We start from the raw sequence: 19383 nt of genomic DNA, 5'->3' as shown, positions 1-19383 counted from the left end.
GCTAATTTTAGTGTCTTTTCTTTCCAACTGTTTGGTAAATCCCTAAACCACCTGTTTTACTGAAATATTAGAGGAAGCTTTGGGGCAAAAGACAATATCAGTTTTGATAGGTTTGGGAGGAACTTGGGCTCTTTTGTCCAGAAATACTAAATCTACTTTGAGATGGACTATAATTCTTGTTTATCAAGTTCTACCCACTTGGAGAGTAAATGAGAAGAAAATCTGAGGGAGGAAAGAAAGACAACATTCATTATGGACAGATTAGGAGATTAGGCCTTTAAATGACAAAAACAAGGCTAGGGGTCTGATTTTAGATTCTGCTTTGAATGTTTTCTTCTTTCTTTCTTTCACCCAAGAATTCCATATTTTGAAGGAGTCATAGAGGACTCTTCACTGGTATAAGATCTCCCTCTTCCAAATCCTATGTAGTTGCCCAGTCCTGCTGGCACCTTCCAGTGATGAGAAACTACAGTATCAGTTATCTGTTGCTGAGTGAAAAAATTAGCCCAGAACTTCCTGGCTGAAAACAACAATCACTATGTACTCAACATTCGCTAGGTTGGCAGTATTGGCTGAATTCTTCTCTGCTTCACATAGTGCTCCACGTGGTGCCAACAGAACTCACTCGTGCATTTGTGCCTCAGCAGCCAGGATGGCCAGGATATTTCTCCAGGTATACTTTTATCCTCCTGGAGACCATTGTAGGCTTTTTAATATGGCCCTGAAAACTTCCCAGAAGCAAGAGAGGAGCCAGCCCCAATACACAGGCGCTTTTCAAGCCTCTGCTTATATCACATTTCCTAATGTCCCATTGGCCAAAATGAGTCATGTGACTAAATGCCTCATCATTGTGGGAGGGAGCTACACAAATGCATGGACACTGAGAGGAATAGATTATGGGAGGCCACTGCTATATCAGCCTATCCATTTGCACCTGCCTCAGAAACTACTTCATTTTCAGACACTTCTAATTCTCAGGTAGTGAAATTTTGTCTCTTGAGTAGAAATCCAGAGATTCAGCTTTCATAGGTTGGTGGGCAGGAACATTCAACAACTCTTGGATATTTGATTCACAATTGGTTTTGTCCCATTAAATCTTCTGTAGGCTGGAGACCTATTCCCCTTAGTTCCCAGCTGACTCCTTAATTCCCAGCCACTCCTGTAGCTCTGATCTTATCCTTCAAAAAGGCCCCTTTGGAGATCTACTGTGTCACTTTTGGGACATAAGCCAATCCATTATTTTAGTTCTCCATGAAGTTCTATGTTAATTTATTATTGTCCCTAGTAAATTTCTCTAGCCAGCATTCACTATTCCTAACCTTTTGAGTCAATTCTCAGGCAGTAAGCCTTAGTACTTGGTCATCACTCAACTGTGTTCCTGCAGATTTCTTCTTCCCTGTACTGCTTTATTTGACCATATTAATAGTAAGCATTGACATGTGCCAGGCCCTGTTCTAAATTTATTACAAGGATTAATCAGTCTTCACAATAATCCTATGAGATAGAGTATAATTATAAGCTCCATTTTGCAGAGAAGACATTCAAGACATAGAGCAATCAAGTAACTTGCCAAAAGTCACATAAGCAGGGAAGCGGAGTTGCTGGGGTTCAAACCTAGAAGTCTGACAGTGAGTATCACTCTCAACCACTCCCCCTATTGCTCCTCTAGATGCAAGAGTTACCACCTAGAGACTATTTGTCAGCCCTCCAGTTCAGTTTGTCCTCAGCAGCACCTAGGAGCTTGGCCTTATTGAAAGACTCAGCTTTTTCCTGAACAGATTCTCATGCTATGACCCTTCTTTCAGGTGCAGTGGGAGTGCATCAATCCCAAGTACAAAGCCAAGAAGAAGAATTACAAGAACTCAGGCACTGTGATTCTGAATCTGTGCAAGGTATGTACACAACCCTCTCTTCCAGGAGTATGAAGCTAGGGCTATCTGAGAGGAAGAGTTCAGGTGGTGTGGTCAGAGGAAAAGAGTATCAAAAAGATGTGATCTTTTAAAATAAAAATTAAAAAGTCATGTATTAAAGAACATAAAATGAGAAATGTAAGCATGGGTGGTCATGGAGCTGTGGCAGCGCAGTGTCACTGTCCTCTCCCCAGGGACAGTCCTGCCCCAAAGACAGGAGAGTTCCGCTGATAGGTTAGGATCATCTCTGCCCAGAGCAGTGCTAGAGGGAGATCTCCAAATGGGGAAGCCAACATTTCTAGAACACCTACTATGTGCCCTTCACGGTGTCCAGTGGTTGTTTTGTTTGGTTTGGTTTGGTTTTGGTTTTGTTTGTTTGCTTTGTTTTGGGACAGAGTTTTGCTCTGTCACCCAGGCTGGAGTGCAGTGGTGCGATATCGGCTCACTGCAACCTCTGCCACCCAGGTTCAAGTGATTCTTCTGCCTCAGCCTCCCAACTAGCTGGGACTACAGGTGCCCGCCACCACGCCCAGCTAATTTTTTCTATTTTTAGTAGAGATGGGGTTTCACCATGTTAGCCAGGATGGTCTTGATCTCCTGACCTCATGATCCGCCTGCCTCAGCCTCCCAAAGTGCTGGGATTACAGGCATGACCCACCGTGCCCAGCCTGTCCAGTGTTTTATATGTGGTACCTTATTCATACTGAAAGCGTACCATAAAAACAAGACAACAGGCAAAGATTAAAGGGCTTACGAATTCCTTCCAGAGGGGCTACAACTTTGCAGAGAATCACATGTGCTAATAATTAAACTTCTTAACTCAAATCTGGGAGTGATGCTGACACTAGTTGAGTACTTACTATGCAAAAATAACTATAATAAACTCTGTTTAATTCTTACCACAACCCTGAGATGTCTACTTTCAATTGAGGTTATGTACCTAGCTCAGAGTCACACAAGTAGTAAATTTAAGAGCTGAGATTTTAACCCACGTGTCTCTGACTCCTCCATACAGGACTCAATTGCTATCCAGATGATTGTTGTGTGTGCATGTTGTGTGTGTGTGTGCGTGTGTGTGTGTATACAGGCATACATATATGTGTATATGTATATGTATATGTATATGTATATGTATATGTATATGTATATGTATATGTATATGTATATGTATAGAGGCCAATGTCAGGGATATTTTGGGTTCTATTCCAAACCAATGCAATAAAGCAAGTCATACACATTCTTTCATTTCCCAGTGCATATAAAAGTTATGTTTACACTATACTGTAGTCTATTAAGTATACAATAGCATTATGTCTAAAAATGTACGTACTTTAATTTAAAAATACCTTATTGCTAAAAAATGCAACAGTCATATGAGCCTTGAGTAAGTCATAATCTTTTTGCTGGTGGAGGACCTTATCTGGATATTGATGGTTGCTGACTGATCATGGTGGTAATTGCTGAAAGTTGGGGTGGCTGAGGTAACTTTTAAAAATAAGACAACAATGAAGTTTCTCATTAATTGACTCCTCCTTTAATGAAAGATTTCTCTGTAGCATGTGATGCTGTCTGATAGCATTTTGCCCATGGCAGAACTTCTTTCAAAAATGGAGTTAATCCTCTCACACCCTGCCTCTGCTTTATCAACTAAATTTAGGGAATATTCTAAATTATTTCTTGTCATTTCAACAGTGTTCACAGCATCTTCACCAGGAGCAGATTCAAGAAACCACTTTCTTTGTTTATCCATGAGAATTAACTCCTCATCCATTCAAGTTTTATCAGTTGTGGCAATTCAGCCACATCTTCAGGCTCCACTTATAATTCCGGTTCCCTTGCTATTTCTACCACATCTCCAGTTTGTCCCACCAGTGAAGTTTTGAACTCCTCAAGGTCATCCTAGAGGGTTAAAATCTACTTCTTCCAAACTCCTATTAGTGTTGATATTTCAACCTCCTCCCATGACTCATGAATGTTCTTAATGGCATCTAGAATCATGAATCTTTTCCAGAAAGTTTTCAATTTACTTTTCTGAGATCTATCAGAAAAACTACCGTAATGATAGTTATAACCTTATGAAATGTATTTCTTAAATAAGAAGACTTGAAAGTTGAAATTACCCCTAGATTCATGGGGTGCAGAATAGGATATTGTGTTAGCAGTCATGAAAACAACGATAAAACCCCTTGCACATCTCCATCAGAGCTTTTGGGTGACTAGGTCTATTGTCAATGAACTGTAACATTTTGAAAGGAATCTTTTTTTCTGAGTAGACTCAAAATATTCAGTAAATCATGCTGTAAACAGATGTGATGCCATCCAGGCTTTGCTCTTCCATTTGTAGAGCATGGGCAGAGTAGATATAGCATAATTGTTAAGAGTGCTAGAATTTTTGAAATGGTAAATGAACATTGGCTTCCACTTAAAGTCACCAGCTGCAATGGCCCCTAATAAGAAAGTAAGCCTGCCCTTTGAAGATTTGAAGCCAGGCAGTGACTTCTTCTCTCTAGCCAGGAAAGTCCTGATGGCATCTTCTTCTTCCTTGTTCTACAATGAAAATCCGTTGTTTAGTGTAGTAACCTTCCTCAAATGATTTTAGCTGGATCTTCTGGATAAATTGTGGCAGCTTTTCCATCAGCATTTGCTGCTTTACCTTACACTTTTATGTTACAGAGACAGTTTCTTTCCTTAAACCTCATGAACCAACCTCCTCTGCTAGCTTCAAACTTTTCTTCTGCATCTTCCTCACCTCTCTCAGCCTTCATAGAATTGAAGTGAGTTAGGGCTTTGCTCTAGATTAGGTTTTAGCTTAAGGGAATGTTGTATCTGGTTTGATCTTTTATCTAAACCACTAAAACTTCCTTCACATAAGCAGTAAGCCTATTTCACTTCCTTATCATTTGTATATTCACTGTTTTAATTTCAAGAACTTTTACTTTGCATTCACAACTTGGCTGTTTGGTGCAAGAGGCCTAACTTTTGGCCTACCTCAGCTACTGACATGCCTTCCTCACTAAGTTTAATCATTTCTAGCTTTTAATTTTAAGTAAGAGATGCATGACTCTTCCTTTCACTTGAACACTTAGAGGCCATTGTAGGGTTATTAACTGGCCTCATTTCAATAGAGTAGTGTCTCAGGGGATAGGGAGACCCAAGGAGAGGGAGAGACATGAAGGAATGGCCAGTTGGTGGAGCAGTGAGAACACACACAACACTTATCAATTAAGTTCACCATCTTATGTGGGCTTGGTTCATAGCACCCCAAAATAATTACAACAGTAACATCAAAGATAACTGATCACAGATCACCATAATAGATACAATAATAATGAAAAAGTTGGAAATATTACAATTACCAAAATGTGACAGACACAAAGCGAGCACATACTGTTGGGAAAATGGCACCAATAGTATTGCTCAATGCAATGTTGTCAGAAACCTTCAATCTGTAAAAAATATAAAGCTCAATAAAGTGAGGTACAATAAAAGAAGATACACCTATACATATATGTGTGTGTGTGTATACACACACCCAGATGGTCCCCAATTTACGATGACTCAACTTATAATTTTTTGAACTTATGAAGGGCTTATTAGCATGTAACCCCACTGTAAGTCCAGGAGCAGTTGTATATACATGTATTTATGTATATATACAGTCATGCTCTGCATAATAACATTTTGTCAATGATGGACCACCGATATGACAGTACTCCCATAAGATTATAATGGAGGTGAAAAATTCCTATCACCTAGTGACTCATAGCCATTGTAATGCAATTACTTTATTTTTTAAACAAATTCAGTGTAGCTTAAGTGTTTATAAGGTCTACAGCAGTGTATAGTAATAGTCTAGGCCTTCACATTCACTCACCTCTCACTCACTGACTCACTCAGAGCAACTTCTAGTCCTGCAGGCTCCATTCATGGTAACTTCTCTATACAGGTGTGCCATTTATTATATTTTATACCATATTTTTACTGTGCCTTTTTATGTTTAGATATGTTTAGATACACAAAGACTTACAGTTGTGTTACAGTTGCTTACAATATTCAGTACAATAACATGATGTACAGGCTTGTGGCCTAGGAACAATAGGCTATACCACATAGCCTAGGTGTATAGTGGGATATACCACCTAGGTTTGTGTAAGTATACTCTATGATGTTCACGCAATGATAAAATCACCTAACAGTGTATTTCTCAGAATGTATTTCCATCATTAAATGACACATGATTGTATATATGTATACGTGTGTGTATGTGTGTGTTTATGTGTGTGTATACATACATAGATATATGTTTCCTAACATATTAGAAGGAACCTAATATGTATATATACAGGACCATATCCTTACATAACAAGATAGTGAAGGAAAAGAGTAATTGGTCTGCTTTGGGTCATATCCCTACCCTTTACACCAATTGCTGGGACTAGGGGATAATGTCTTATGACTGGCCATTGTATTAATCTTTTTTTTTCAATATTTTTTGATGCTTTGACAACTTTGGGCCTTATGAACCTAAGAGGGACTACTCTCCCAGTGTTAGCTAATTCCTATAGACAGCAAACAACCTGCCTTTTAGCATGCCTTTGATATACAAACCAATCATTTTTTAGTTCAAACCCCCAATCACCTCCCTTACCAAACTCTCACACACCAAGCCAATGTTCTCCCACCTTATATGCCCCTAGGGTCAGGTCTCACATAACTAGAAACCACTCACATGGTTTTGATAGATTTCAAAACCTGCTGAAATCGTTCAAACTATCCAATCCTAGGCCTGCTTAGCTGCTTACCCTGCCTTGCCCACTCCTGCCTATGAAAAAAAAACACACAGTAAATGGTTTGCCCATGCTTTCCCTTCATTGCTTTTGCTTCCTGACCTATCCTGGTGCTTCCCCATGTGACCTTCCTTTGTGGCATAACATGCCTCCTATCCTTTGAAGAACTGTGAGCAATAAACTCTTCTTACAGATACAGACATCTGTCTCCATGTCAGGCATCTTATCATAACTGTACAAATCAAATCCTGGGTACATTCTAAACAGTTATGTGACTATCCTTGTGCTCAAAGAAGCAGGAGAAAAGATCTAGATTCAATGGTTATCTTTCTCCTTAAGGTGACTGTGTACACACAATTTTTTTTTTCTTCCATGAGTTGCTCTTAGAGTTCAGTGCTCAGAAGCACTGTTATTTTGCTCACTTTCAAGTTCTTATTTCTTTGATATGCAGACACAGTAGCACAGTGTCCCAACTATCAGGCAAAGCATTACCATCAGGACACCAAAAGTAAGCACTATTTAGAGGCCAAGTGAACATCAATTCTAAGAAAAGTATGCCAATAGATGTGTGCCACCTGGAGGTGGTATCTAGAGAGACCAACACTGATTTTTTGGGTCTCTCTAAGAAGCTTCCTGAGCATTAGATGGAATCTGAGAAGTGACAGTCAAAAATTACAGTTACTGGCTGTCCAGGTAGAAGGATCCAGACTGTAAGTACTGTATGTGTTTTTCTAATCACTGTAGTCCTAGAATCTAGTGCATAGTGAGTATTCAATAAATAATTGTTGAATAAACGAATACATGAATATCACCAAGAGCCAAGCCAAGCAGCAAAATCACAAAGAAATGTAAATTAAGACCAGAAATCCCTAAGGTACTTGAGAACACATGATGGCAGTTGGCATAACGCAACAACCATACTGACTTCCAGAGTAGAGGTCAAAAGGACAGAGTATGTAACCCAGACTTGCATCATTTGAGTCTCAACTCTACCATTTATTAGCATTGTGATCTTGACCTTAATTTCCTCATCTATAAACAGGGTACAATAATAATAGTTGTGCCACCTTCATAGGATTGTTCTGAGAATTAAATGAGGTAAAAGATGTTAAGTACCTGTCATTCAGTAATGCCCAATAAATGTTAGTCATTGTTGTTCATGGCAGGGGAAGCATTTAACTAACTGGAAATTGTCAGTAAATTACCTTCTCAGCCAATGGTATTTTAAAACTGCCTATCTAAATTACCTGCATATTAAGAATGTCACCAGGACTGGGACTTAGACACAGGGAGGCAAGACTGAAGTCAAGTGTGAGACATCATTGATTTCAAAACAGTAGTGACACTTGAAAATATAGTTTTAGTCTCACTTCAGAGGCATAAGCTGATTAAAATTTGCATAAACCATAATAGAGGGGAGCAATGGATGGATATTGGCAGCATTCATAGGCCCATCTGTATTAATATTGCTTTCCTTCTCTCCTTTAACAGAACAAACTTAACTGACCCATCTTTTTTCAATGATGTCTGTCTGCCCTTTCCTCTGGTTTAGCAGCTTATCAGTCACCAACCTTTAGGCCTCCAATATATCAGGAAATAGACTGTGCTGTTATTAACCCAGTTTCCTCTCCCCTCCTATGCAGATTCACAAGATGCATTCTTTCTTGGACTACATCATGGGTGGCTGCCAAATCCAGTTTACAGTAAGTTGTTTTCATGTTGATTCCTTGATTCTTATTCAGGAATCAAGAGATGAGGGGTGGCACTGGGTTTGGGGGATAAAGAGACAAAAGCTTATTAAAACCTTCAGGCAGCTTTGTTCAAGTCTCATTGTTGAAGCGTATGGTATCGTGTTTTTGAAATGTGTTCACACTTCTGTTTTCTTTAATAAGTATAGTTTTCAGCATCATATCAGGAAATTTATGCCACTCAACCTCAGGTGGTCTAGGAAATCCTCCTAACGCTTCCCATTTCTTCAGTAACTATGTGAGGCATGAAGCAGAGTAGCCTGTCAGATTCCATCACCTGGTGAGAAAAATTGAAAGGAAGTAAGCCAAGCAAGTAAGTTCCACTGAGCCAAGGCAGATGCCATGGTTGTGTTCATGTGACTAGACCACAGCACCAATGTCATACCCAGTAGTCGGGACCAAGAGTAAGCCATACAAACAGTTCATTAGGCAATGAAAAGATGAATTCCAAAGATTGGAGAACCAGGCCGAGGTCAAGGTTGAGAAGTAGAGTGGGTGTCTAGACTCAGTGAATGGATCAAGGATCATCCCCTGTATGTAATTTGTGTGCCCTTGGGATTTACACACCCCTGATGTATATTTGACTGGGTAGGCTGAGTCTTTTTAAAGTGCCTAGGTAGGTCAAGGTTGTAAGTCCATCTGCACTGGAACAACTGACTTTCACTGACTTAATATTCAAAATTCTCCTAGGTTTGGTCAGATGTGACTTCCAGAAAAAGAATCCCCAGATGGCAAAAGACAGATGTGCTAGAACCCTTTGGAAAGCAATGTGGACGTAAACAAGAGAGATGTAACTTGTACAGCATTTATTTCTCATCTTACAGAAATGTACTAACGAAGCTCAGCCCTGTTCAGCTCCCTGACTGGCTCAGTCATTTGAAAAAAGGAAATAAAATGGGTTTAAATTTTTAGTCAAGCTTTGGGCCCAAGAGAGTAGACGGGACCTATATATTCCTGGAACCAAGGAAGATGGTGCTCAAAGGACTAAAAGGAGTCTCAAAGGATGAGATAAATGGTCATTTACTAAACTAGCTTCTCCTTAGCTAGGGAAGTATCCTCTGCCCTAATCTCAGGGAGGTATACCTATGTCCTTCCTAAACTTGGGGTATTGTGCATTTATTTCTGAACGCTTACAGGAGCAAATTTTAGAGTTTGGTCTCCTCTTTAAAGTCTAAGATTCTCTAATGCACAGCCAGCAAGCCTTCCTACATTCACACTGTCACATACAGAAGGTAGCAAGCATGTTCGCTGAGGATACACATCTAACTCTAGCTGTCCTGTGGGCTCATTGCTGCTCTGAGCATACCCATATGGAAGTATGGAAGCAAGCAATGTCATAAAGGAGAGCTACTGGAAATAGTTTCCCAAGATCTTAGGCAAAAACGTGATTTCAGGAAACTATTTATAGCTTTTCAAGGGAAAGCTCTATTGATTTCAGTCTGGTTTAGATTTTGTAGATCCCATGCTCTTGAACAACTCTGTATTCAACCTTCAGGGGCTTGCTCTGCCCTTCAAATTGTGCTGCAAAGAATCAGCCCCAACAAAAATTAGGTGCTGAACCCCAACCTAAAGTGTTCCCAGCTCCACATCCTGACTTTCAGATATCCCTGTGCCCTGCATTGTTCTCCCCTCCTTTCTCAGTCTGCTGACCTTCCCCCACTGAGAGTACCACTTCAGTGTTTGTCACCAACAACACCCCAGTTGCAGCTCCCCATGCCCTCCAGTGTCAACTGATAGACCTGTGGGAGGTGTGAGTGAGGAGAGCAGTCTGGAGCAAGGAATGAGAAGAGGAGAATGTACAGATGAATGCTGAGGAGAAGGGGGCAGCCAACAATAGTTCCTCCCCACAGCCCTTCCTCCTGTAGGGTTTCAGGTTGGGGACTCAGAAGAGAATTGCTAGGTATTCTATTCCCAGTGTTCTACTAAAGGAAACATACCAGTCACTTCTATGTCATTTTCTTCCAAAATGAAGTCAGCTTTCTCATTCTAAATGTTTTATTGCTCAAGTGGTGCAACTTAATTTAAATTATAAGCTGTAATGCAAATCGTTAAGAAAAAGTATCGTGTCTTATTTAATTTGGTCTGTAAGTGTTTATTATCTGCCTGGTTATTTTACTGAAACCATCTGGCAACATGAAAAGGAAGTGGCAGAGAGATGAGAAGTGAAGAGAGGAAGGTTTCCTGGCATGGAGGTGGGCAGAGGAGAGAGAGAAAAGGGATGTTTCATTGCAGTAATTATACCTCAGAGGCTTTCAGAGGCAAAAACCCCCATTGGCACATTATGTGACCCTTGGCTCCTGAGCAACCAGGGAGCTTTAGCCAACACAAACTTTTTGTCTCCCTGGAGAAAGGCCTTCAAGCACCAGAGGTGACATAAAGTTCTGGATGTTCTCCATTTCCTCCCCTAGAGCCACTTTCCATCCTTCTCCACTCTCCCTTCTGTGCCCCAGGAAGCAAGCCTCCTTGGATGCACCACCCAAGCTCTCCAGCTCTTAGCTTTTGGTTGGATTTGACCAACGAGAGGCAGCCATCAGAGATCAAAGAATAGGAGGCGAGAGAACTTGAAATATTTATTTCTCTAGCTGCCTGCCTGCTAGGCTGTGGTTGGGCAGCGACCTTCTTCCTGACAGAAGGTCACAGTTCCTGTCAGGTGCCCTGTCCTGAAGATACTCCTCTTACTGAATTCTAGTAACTGCTCCCTCCCACTCTTTCTGGTCAGTTTCCATTAACCTTTTCCACATGTTTGTGAATTGTCCCTTTATTAAACTTCCTCAATCACCTTTTGAGTGGACTTTTTGTTTCCTGTAGTGGCTCTGACCAATACAAAATATAAGCAGGGGCTAGGAGAAAGCCTTTGTATCTTCCATAGATGCTGGTGCTTCTGGTTCAATCTTAAGAGTGTTAAAGATGGGGGCATCTTTCTCCTCAGCTGCTAAGCTGCTCAAAATACTTTTGCTGAATTGTAATAATTGAACCCTAAACCTTCAAAGGGAGGTTAGATTTAGAAAAAAGAACAAATTGGATAAATAAACATGATATTGGGGTTTTGCTTTAAAAAGCATCCCCCATAAACTTAAGTATTTATGTACCACTATATTCTAATTATAAATACTAAAACCTTAATTAGGAAAATGAATAAACAGGATGTATTTAGGGGAGTATTGGGGAAGCAGTTTGGGGTCAGAACTTGAAGGGCTTTGAATTTTGAGGTAATTTGGTGGATAATGCATGTTCCAAAGGATATTGACGAGGGCCTTGAAGCAACAGGCACATGCTTTCGACAAGTAAACCTGGGTGTTTGATGGTGGTGATGGGGGAACGAGAGATGAAGCAAGCAGAGATGGAAGCCCACTGCCACAGGCCTGGTACCAGGTAAAAAGAAGCTAAACAAGGGTGGCAGCAGCAGGAGAGGTACTGTGGAAAGAGAAGCACTAAGCCTCTGCCTAGAATACAATGAGAAGACTGAAAGCAATCAAAGCTTTTGTGCCTGACTGACAGAGCATAGTGGACCTGGTCAGGGAAATACGCGAGGCAACAGCAGCTGTAGGCAAGATGATGAATTTGGCTTTGGACACGTCAGAGGTACTTTCAGGTATCCCAGTGGAGATGGTACTTATAAATATGGACCTAGGTTTCAGGGGAGAGTCAGGAGCTACATGTATGTGGCTTTGGATGAGATGTCCCAAGAGAAAAATATAGAAGGAAAAGGGGCCTGATGACAAGGAATTGTAGAGGACCTCTATCTGGCAGCAGAGGAAAGAGGGGCAAAGAGTTAAGAGAAGAAATGCCAGAGGAGAAGAAGGCCCAAGGGGAGGCAGTAACTCAGATGCCCAGGAGGAAAAAGCTAAGGTTAAGATCAAGGGCAACAATCTTGCATGCTAAAGAGAAGTCAGAGGGTGAAGAACAACATGATGAGTAGGTAGGTGTATATCATCTTCAAAAGAGCAACTTCAGCATAACGAGATAGGTGAGACCCAGGAGTTAGAGTGTAAACAGAAGGTAAAGAAGTGAACACAGCAGGTGTAAGTATTCATTCAAGAAGTTAACAGTGAAGGGAAGGCAAGAGGTACAAGGAGGATGGCAATTTAAAGATTAAAAGAGAAGAGATTTTAAGCTAGAATCAGACTATAAGCAGAGGTAACAGCCCAGTGGAAGGAAAGAGATAAATGATGCTAAAAAGAGCCCTAGACAGTCAATGATTCTTATTCTTTTTTGGTCACCTGAACACTTGAGAATTTGATACATGATCTATAGCCTCTTACTGGGAAGTGCACACATCCAGTTTTGCATGCAATTTTGGGAGGTCAAGGGCACTCCTGAAGACAGTCCTTGTACCTCACATGAATCCTTAAGTCATAAGAACTCTAGAGCAACTAGTATTGCAGTCTTTGAGGAGGTGGGTGGAGGTGAAACAGACCACAGGGTGAGAGATTGGGTTTGGCACATGGTAGAGCAGCTAAAAATAAAACCAGATACTAGAATTTCACACACAAAATACAAAGTTATAGATAACACAAAATAGACAGATGCCGTACAGTATTTGAAAAGAAAAAATGGGGGAGATATACCTAATGCTAGATGACACGTTAGTGGGTGCAGCGCACCAGCATGGCACATGTATACATATGTAACTAACCTGCACAATGTGCACATGTACCCTAAAACTTAGAGTATAATAAAAAATTTTAAAAAAATAAATAAATAAATAAATAAATAAAAAGAGAAAATGGTAGAAAAATCAAAGGTTTTTTTGAAGGTTATTGCTTTTTCATATGCTCAAAAATGTTCATTGTAACACAGATTTTTACACAGGCACTCTGTCAGCAACCTAAATGTCTAACAATAAGGTAATGGCTACATGAATTACAGTATTCCTTTAAATACTATGATATTTATTATCATAGTATTTAGTTATTTAGTATTGACTATGATAAAGCCTATTTAAATTATAATTCTAAGGTTTAGATAATAACATGAGGTCATGTTTATGACATAGTGTTACAAAAACGTAAAGCAGAGTTACTCTATGATTACAACTATATATATATAAAATACCTAGAGAGGAAAGAAAAATAAAATATGACTTACCAGCCTAGTGGCATGGCGAGTGATATTTTTTTCTTATTAATTTTAAACGGACATTTCTTTTGTGTCATTTTTAAAAATTGAAGATAATATTGCTTTCTCTTACCTCTGACTATAGTTTATATTTTAGTAATATAATAAGCTGCTGAATGCAACTTCTCCCAGACTGACCTTCAAACCTAAAAATTTAGATCACTCATTAAAGGTTCTCTCAGGAAATCTTTTTCTTTCTTTCTTTCTCTCTTTCTTTCTTTCTTCCTTTCTTCTTTTTTTTTTTGTTTTTTTTTGTTTTTTTTGTTTTTTGAAACAGGGTCTCACTCTGTTTCCCGGAGTGCAGTGCAGTAGCACACTGGAAGCTCACTGTAACCTTAAACTCCTGAGCTCAAGTGATGCTCTTGCCTCAGCCTCCTGAGTAGCTGGGACTACAACCATATGCTACCACACTGGCTACTTTTTAAAACAAATTTTTGTAGAGACAGGGTCCAGCTGTGTTGCCCAAGCTGGTCTCAAACTCCTGGCCTCAAGTTATACTTTCATCTCAGCCTCCCAAAGCACTGGGATTATAAGTGTGAGCCACCGCACCCAGTCTCAGGAAATCTTTTCTAACCCTAAAACATTTAGGGCATCCTATGTCCACACTGTGGCCCAGTTTACATTTTTAAATCTTTATTTTACATCCCAGATTGAACACTGATCTACTCTGGTGTAGACCTTCGAGTCTGCTTACTGCTTAGTGAGCCCTGCTTACTGAATTCCTATGCAAAGCCAGGGTACAATGGGTTAAAGAGGCAAATGCTTTGCCATTTCCAGAAAATGAACCAAGTAAGTTTAGGTGACTTTCCCTACTTTCCTATTTAACTGCCCTCTTAGAAAGTTTTCTGAAAATAGAAAAGAATAAAAATGTAACATTATTTAAGAAATGGTCCAGACCAAACAGTATGTTCACCTACAAGGTTCATTGTATAGGTCCAAATTGTACACAGCTATTTAAAAAGAAAAGAAAGAAAGCTCCCCAAGAATGTGGTCCCAAAGGTAGACTGCAGGTACAACTAACCAGAGGTTGTTACACAGCAGCTTCCCTTAGAAAACGTCGAGAAGGTTCACAAATGACCTGTTTGGCAGATGAAGGGAAGGGATCTGAGGAGTGGGGTTGTTTCATGTAAGAATCTAAAAATGCCCAAAGAAAGATGCTCATCATTTGCAACCAGCCTTTTCCCAGGAACAGCTCCACACACTGGGGACTTGGTGTCATGGAGGGGGCATTTTGCATTCTTACTTTACAAGGTTTGCAAAGCTGCTCCACAGCTCTGCTTAATAATGAGCAGTGGCTTCCTGGGCAGAAGGAAAAAGCACTGGGCACCTGTTCTTGTGCTGCCTGCAGAGAAGATTGGAGCACATACCAGAACCACAGGTTTCCATAAATGCTTCCTATCAGGAAATGAAAACGTGGTGGCTCTGCGAGCTCACCGGTATTCAGAAAACCAGGCATCAGTAGCCACCTCCACACACTGACATTTTTCAGTCATTTTCTTGCTTTTATTTCTCAACTTAATCCCATCTTTCACTGCCTCCCTGTTGCTTTCTAAAATAAACCTAACCTTTCACTCTGCTCTCTTTCTACTAATGCTAACTTTAAAGAGCACAGAGAATTCTTGGTGGAAGACCACCCCCTGAAGATAGATATTTTATCTCCAGCTTCATAAATGAGGTTTTAGGAACCACTACTTTCCAGAAAATAAAAATGAAAATATTTTAGCTGACTCTTACTTAAGACTGTCCATTGCTGTCTAGTCACATGATAAAATTTTTTTATTAAACCATGAGAACTATAAAATGGGCTATATGGTAAGAATCATAAGCCTATTTCCTTTTTCATCAGTTAATTTTTAAGTTCATACCCTCCCCTAGGTCGATATGAGAATCTCCTGAGATGAAGTGGCCTCTCTCGTTGTCATAGACGTAGGGGCCATTGCCATGGGAAAAGTGGAAACCCTAGAGGCCTGACTGAAAAGAAATAATAGTAAAATTTCCACCAGGCATGTTTGAATGTTTAAATAGTAGCACCAAGAACAGGCAGCCCAATACTAACCTTCTAGCATTAGCCTGTACCTTGTTTCATTATCTTCAAAATATATTATTCTCTTCTGTCCCCTCAAAACCTGGCCATTCCCTTTCCCTAACTGACATCCAACTCTGCATTCAAGTGGTCACAAAATCCTATTCATTTTCTATCCTTACTTTCTTCAATCACTCTTTCCTTCTCACCATCATCTTTGCCCCACCCTAGTTAAGCATAAGAAAATTATTCCAAGCCTGACAATGAAGAGTTGATAGGAATGAAAATGACATAGTAGGGTCAGTATTGGAGGTAAAGCAAGAGACGTACCTGGGGTGCAAAATTTAAGGAGACTCTCACTCTGCGGATTTTGCAAGTATAGGGTCTGCTGAGAGTGAGTGCCTCCTTGGGTTTTACAAACTAGGCACTTCTTTTTGCCTCACCCCATCTCCAGCTCTGATATGTTTTTTTCTATTATTTTAAAATATATTGTTGCCACAATCTATGTATGCTTGTCCAGACATTACACACACTTATCTAGATATAACATATTCATCCAGGTGATATACTCTGGCTCAGATGCTGCCACTAGGTGCCTGCATGCTAGGAGAATTTTGCCAATGCCTAGGAATGTTTCTTGAGCAGCCATTTTTCTTTATGGATTTTTTTCCTCTGGCCTATATAACCCGATTGCATTGTCTAGTTTTATATCAAGACACCAGCATGTTTTTGTCATCACAGAACACCCTTAACACTTCAGGAGTTTCAGTCAGACAACCAGCACATGGGACAGATTGTTAGCTTTAGTATCAAGAGGCAGAAGCATGATGCCTTCAGAGGTAAGGAGGTGGTGACCCATGATGGAAGGCATCATGAATAGAAGTGAGGTGGGCCACAAGGTGTTTGTTATTAATAATAAAGTAGCAACACCTGCCAATGATTCACTTTTTAGATAAATTAAAGCAGAATCAAGGTAATCTCCATAACAACATCTTCACGCTCTCTAGAATTCCCTGGAGTACTAACATGCTTTCCTCAGTGGAAGAGAAAGGGGTGGCTTTACATCTGGCCTTCCCAGCATTACTTTTACCTTTTAAACACTATGTACACCTGTGCAAGGTGCCATTATCCCTTAAACATGTCCCATTAGGAGTAAAAGGCTGAGAATGGTGTCTGTGAGTTGAGCTTGGTAAACCCAGGAGGGCCCCAAAGATATGATTTTCTCAAACATTGTCTCTCAAACATCTCTGGAGTGCTCCTCTCAGAAATTTTCCTGGAATTATCTGCATGAGTTTGGATCTCTATCTTGTTGAGGCCTCATTGGTGGATCCTGAGGTGCTCTTCACCTCCTTCTTGTTCAGAAAATGCATGTAGGTTCCTCTCTCCCACCAGCTTTTCATCGTAGTCCTTGATTAAAAGGGCCTCACCTATGGTCTTACTTTTTTTTTTTTTTCCTGGTGGGTTGGCTCTCACCTTCAGGATAAACCTGTCCCAGAAGACACTGGACTTTATTGGTCTCCCTAGGTTACCTCCACTCATCCTCAGTAACAATCATCTCACTATTGTGTGTGCAAACATACATACACACACATTTCAGTTTTCCTTTTCTTAAGTTTTACACCCATTTTGGTCACGAAGAGTTTATTCCAGGCAATTCTTCCCCAAATTGCCATGGTTGCCTCCTAGCAAGTCTCCCTACCTCCAGGCCAAATCTCCTGCATTTTATATTGGAATAATTATACCCATGAGAAGTCCTGGTGTTTTGGTCATAGACATACATGTTCTCCTGGATGTATGATGGCGTAATGGAAAAAGGTAGAAAGGAACCATATAGACTTGGATTTAAACCCAACTCCAAGCCCTGTTACCCTATGTCACATGAAAATGGAGTAATATCATGCATATAAATGAAGTAATATCATGCCCTCTGTGTCACACACAGTTAGCACAGTGCCTGACACAGAGATTATTTCTCTCTTCTTTCCTTTGTTATCCAAAGTAAGGGAATCTAAGGTTCAGGGAAGAACTGCAATTTTTCTTCAGATAACCTTTTTTTTTTTTTTTTTACATACTCTTAGTACTAGCATTTATCAGTAGGCATCCCCTGATTTTAAGAAATCTGGGTATTCTGAAAACAGAGTTTGAATCCTAAGTTTATTTTTGACGTAGTTCTTTGGAGAGGCAAGGAAGAAAAAGAAAAACATAACACAGATGAACACGTAATTTCATGAAAGAAAAGAAAAAAGCCTATAAATGAATTAATGTTAGCCTATTGCTTTTCTTTCCTAGTCACTTTGATTTGATTGCAGGGTACAATATCAGATGTGACTAACATTTTTTTCCCCATCAACTTATACCTTAAGAAACACAAACACACACGTGGCATGTGTTCTCTACCCTTTCAGAAATAATGTTGCACCTTCCTAGAACCAATGGTGCATTCCAGTTATTTGTTGTAATGAAATTTACCAAATATAACACAAATAACATTTCCCATTATGATTCCCAAGATCATATGAAAAAATAGAGCCTTTCGGGCATAGTAAGCCAATGAATGTATTCTACTCTACCCCAGAAGGAAATGGAATTATGCAACATAAACATTTCTTTCTTCCCGTATGACTTTTATTTTAACCTTCTTCCCTCGAAGCTTAAGTGGCATTTTTAAAGAGATTTTTGCTGGGTTAACTTTTATTTAGATGGTGGTGATGTTGGAAATTAGAAGAAGTGTTTCTTCTCATTTTAACACCCTCGGCTTAAGCATTTTTTGTTCTTTCTTTTGTTATTAAGAAGTGTTCAGTGACTCAACGTTTACTTACATGATTATGATACTGGGGGTCAGAAGAAATTTGAGAAGTTGAAGCATAAATGACTAGTTGGTGGCAAGACAGGTTTCCCTTCTCCACTTCCCACTCACAATGCGATAACATTCAGGCATCCCCTTTGTTGTAGGCAGGAGTTCTTACATGAACGAGAACCAAAATATTGAATGCCTTACATGGAGCTGCTCCTTCCAGAAAATTTGTTATAACCACTCTAACACATCTCTCTGCATCTGGCCACTCATGGAAACATGACAATGGCTTTGGTATGAAGACTGTATCTTTAACACAGAATTTGGTTTTAAGGGATCTTACCTATGCCGCGTAGATGGAATTGTTCTGCCCAGGGAGTGTAGAAGTCTTTTCTTAGTGAACTGTGAAATTGGAGGGCAGATATTCTATCCTTACTCTTGCTGCCTGGTGAGATGGATCAACAGCATCTGGGCTTTCTGATCTATGTCAATCTCAAGTTCCTATTAAACAGAGAGAAGAGAGTGCACTGGTGGGAAGGGAGACTGAAGACTGCAGAAATGGCCTCAACCAAATTAATAACTAGTTTTTCAAGCAAATTAGTTTATTCTCTTTCTTTATTGGCAGGGTATGTAATGTGCTACTGTTTTTGACCCGAGGCCAGGTCTCTCTCATGACTGATCACAATTCTTAGGAGATGCATCCACTTTAAATTTACCTTTTCTTGTATTTTTCTCTTTTAGGTAGCTATAGATTTCACTGCCTCAAACGGGGACCCCAGGAACAGCTGTTCCTTGCACTACATCCACCCTTACCAACCCAATGAGTATCTGAAAGCTTTGGTAGCTGTGGGGGAGATTTGCCAAGACTATGACAGGTAAGAGGCTTCAGGACATTTGGAGCCTTATCATCTCTCATGTGGGTTCAGACGGTCTTTGGCTGATCCTGGGCAGAAAGTGGAAATTAAGTCTAGTAGCTCCTTATGTAGTGACTTCAAAAGTTTCA

The 19383-nt window shown here is 40.0% G+C and overlaps 1 protein-coding gene across 10 annotated transcripts in view, besides 1 other annotated feature; it reads left to right on the top strand.

Moving 5' to 3' along the window:
- The window catches only part of CPNE4 (copine 4), a 506038-nt gene that overhangs the window by 456136 nt on the left and 30519 nt on the right, over positions 1–19383 (top strand). For all 10 annotated transcript variants that reach the window (NM_153429.2, NM_001388326.1, NM_001289112.2 and 7 more), the window contains 3 exons: positions 1806–1892; positions 8341–8400; positions 19122–19255. In NM_153429.2, the coding sequence (NP_702907.1) occupies positions 1806–1892; positions 8341–8400; positions 19122–19255 (281 nt within the window). The remainder of the gene's footprint in view (positions 1–1805; positions 1893–8340; positions 8401–19121; positions 19256–19383) is intronic.
- Positions 14631–15205: an enhancer, noted in NCBI's record as "OCT4-NANOG hESC enhancer chr3:131287110-131287684 (GRCh37/hg19 assembly coordinates)". NCBI's record gives its function as "activates a minimal SCP1, AML or CMV promoter by ChIP-STARR-seq in primed H9 embryonic stem cells {active_cell/tissue: H9 hESC(primed)}" and the evidence as "EXISTENCE:reporter gene assay evidence [ECO:0000049][PMID:30033119]".

Source organism: Homo sapiens, chromosome 3 (assembly GCF_000001405.40).
Source record: "Homo sapiens chromosome 3, GRCh38.p14 Primary Assembly".
NCBI lineage: Eukaryota > Metazoa > Chordata > Mammalia > Primates > Hominidae > Homo > Homo sapiens.
This window is presented reverse-complemented; position numbering and strand designations above follow the sequence as displayed.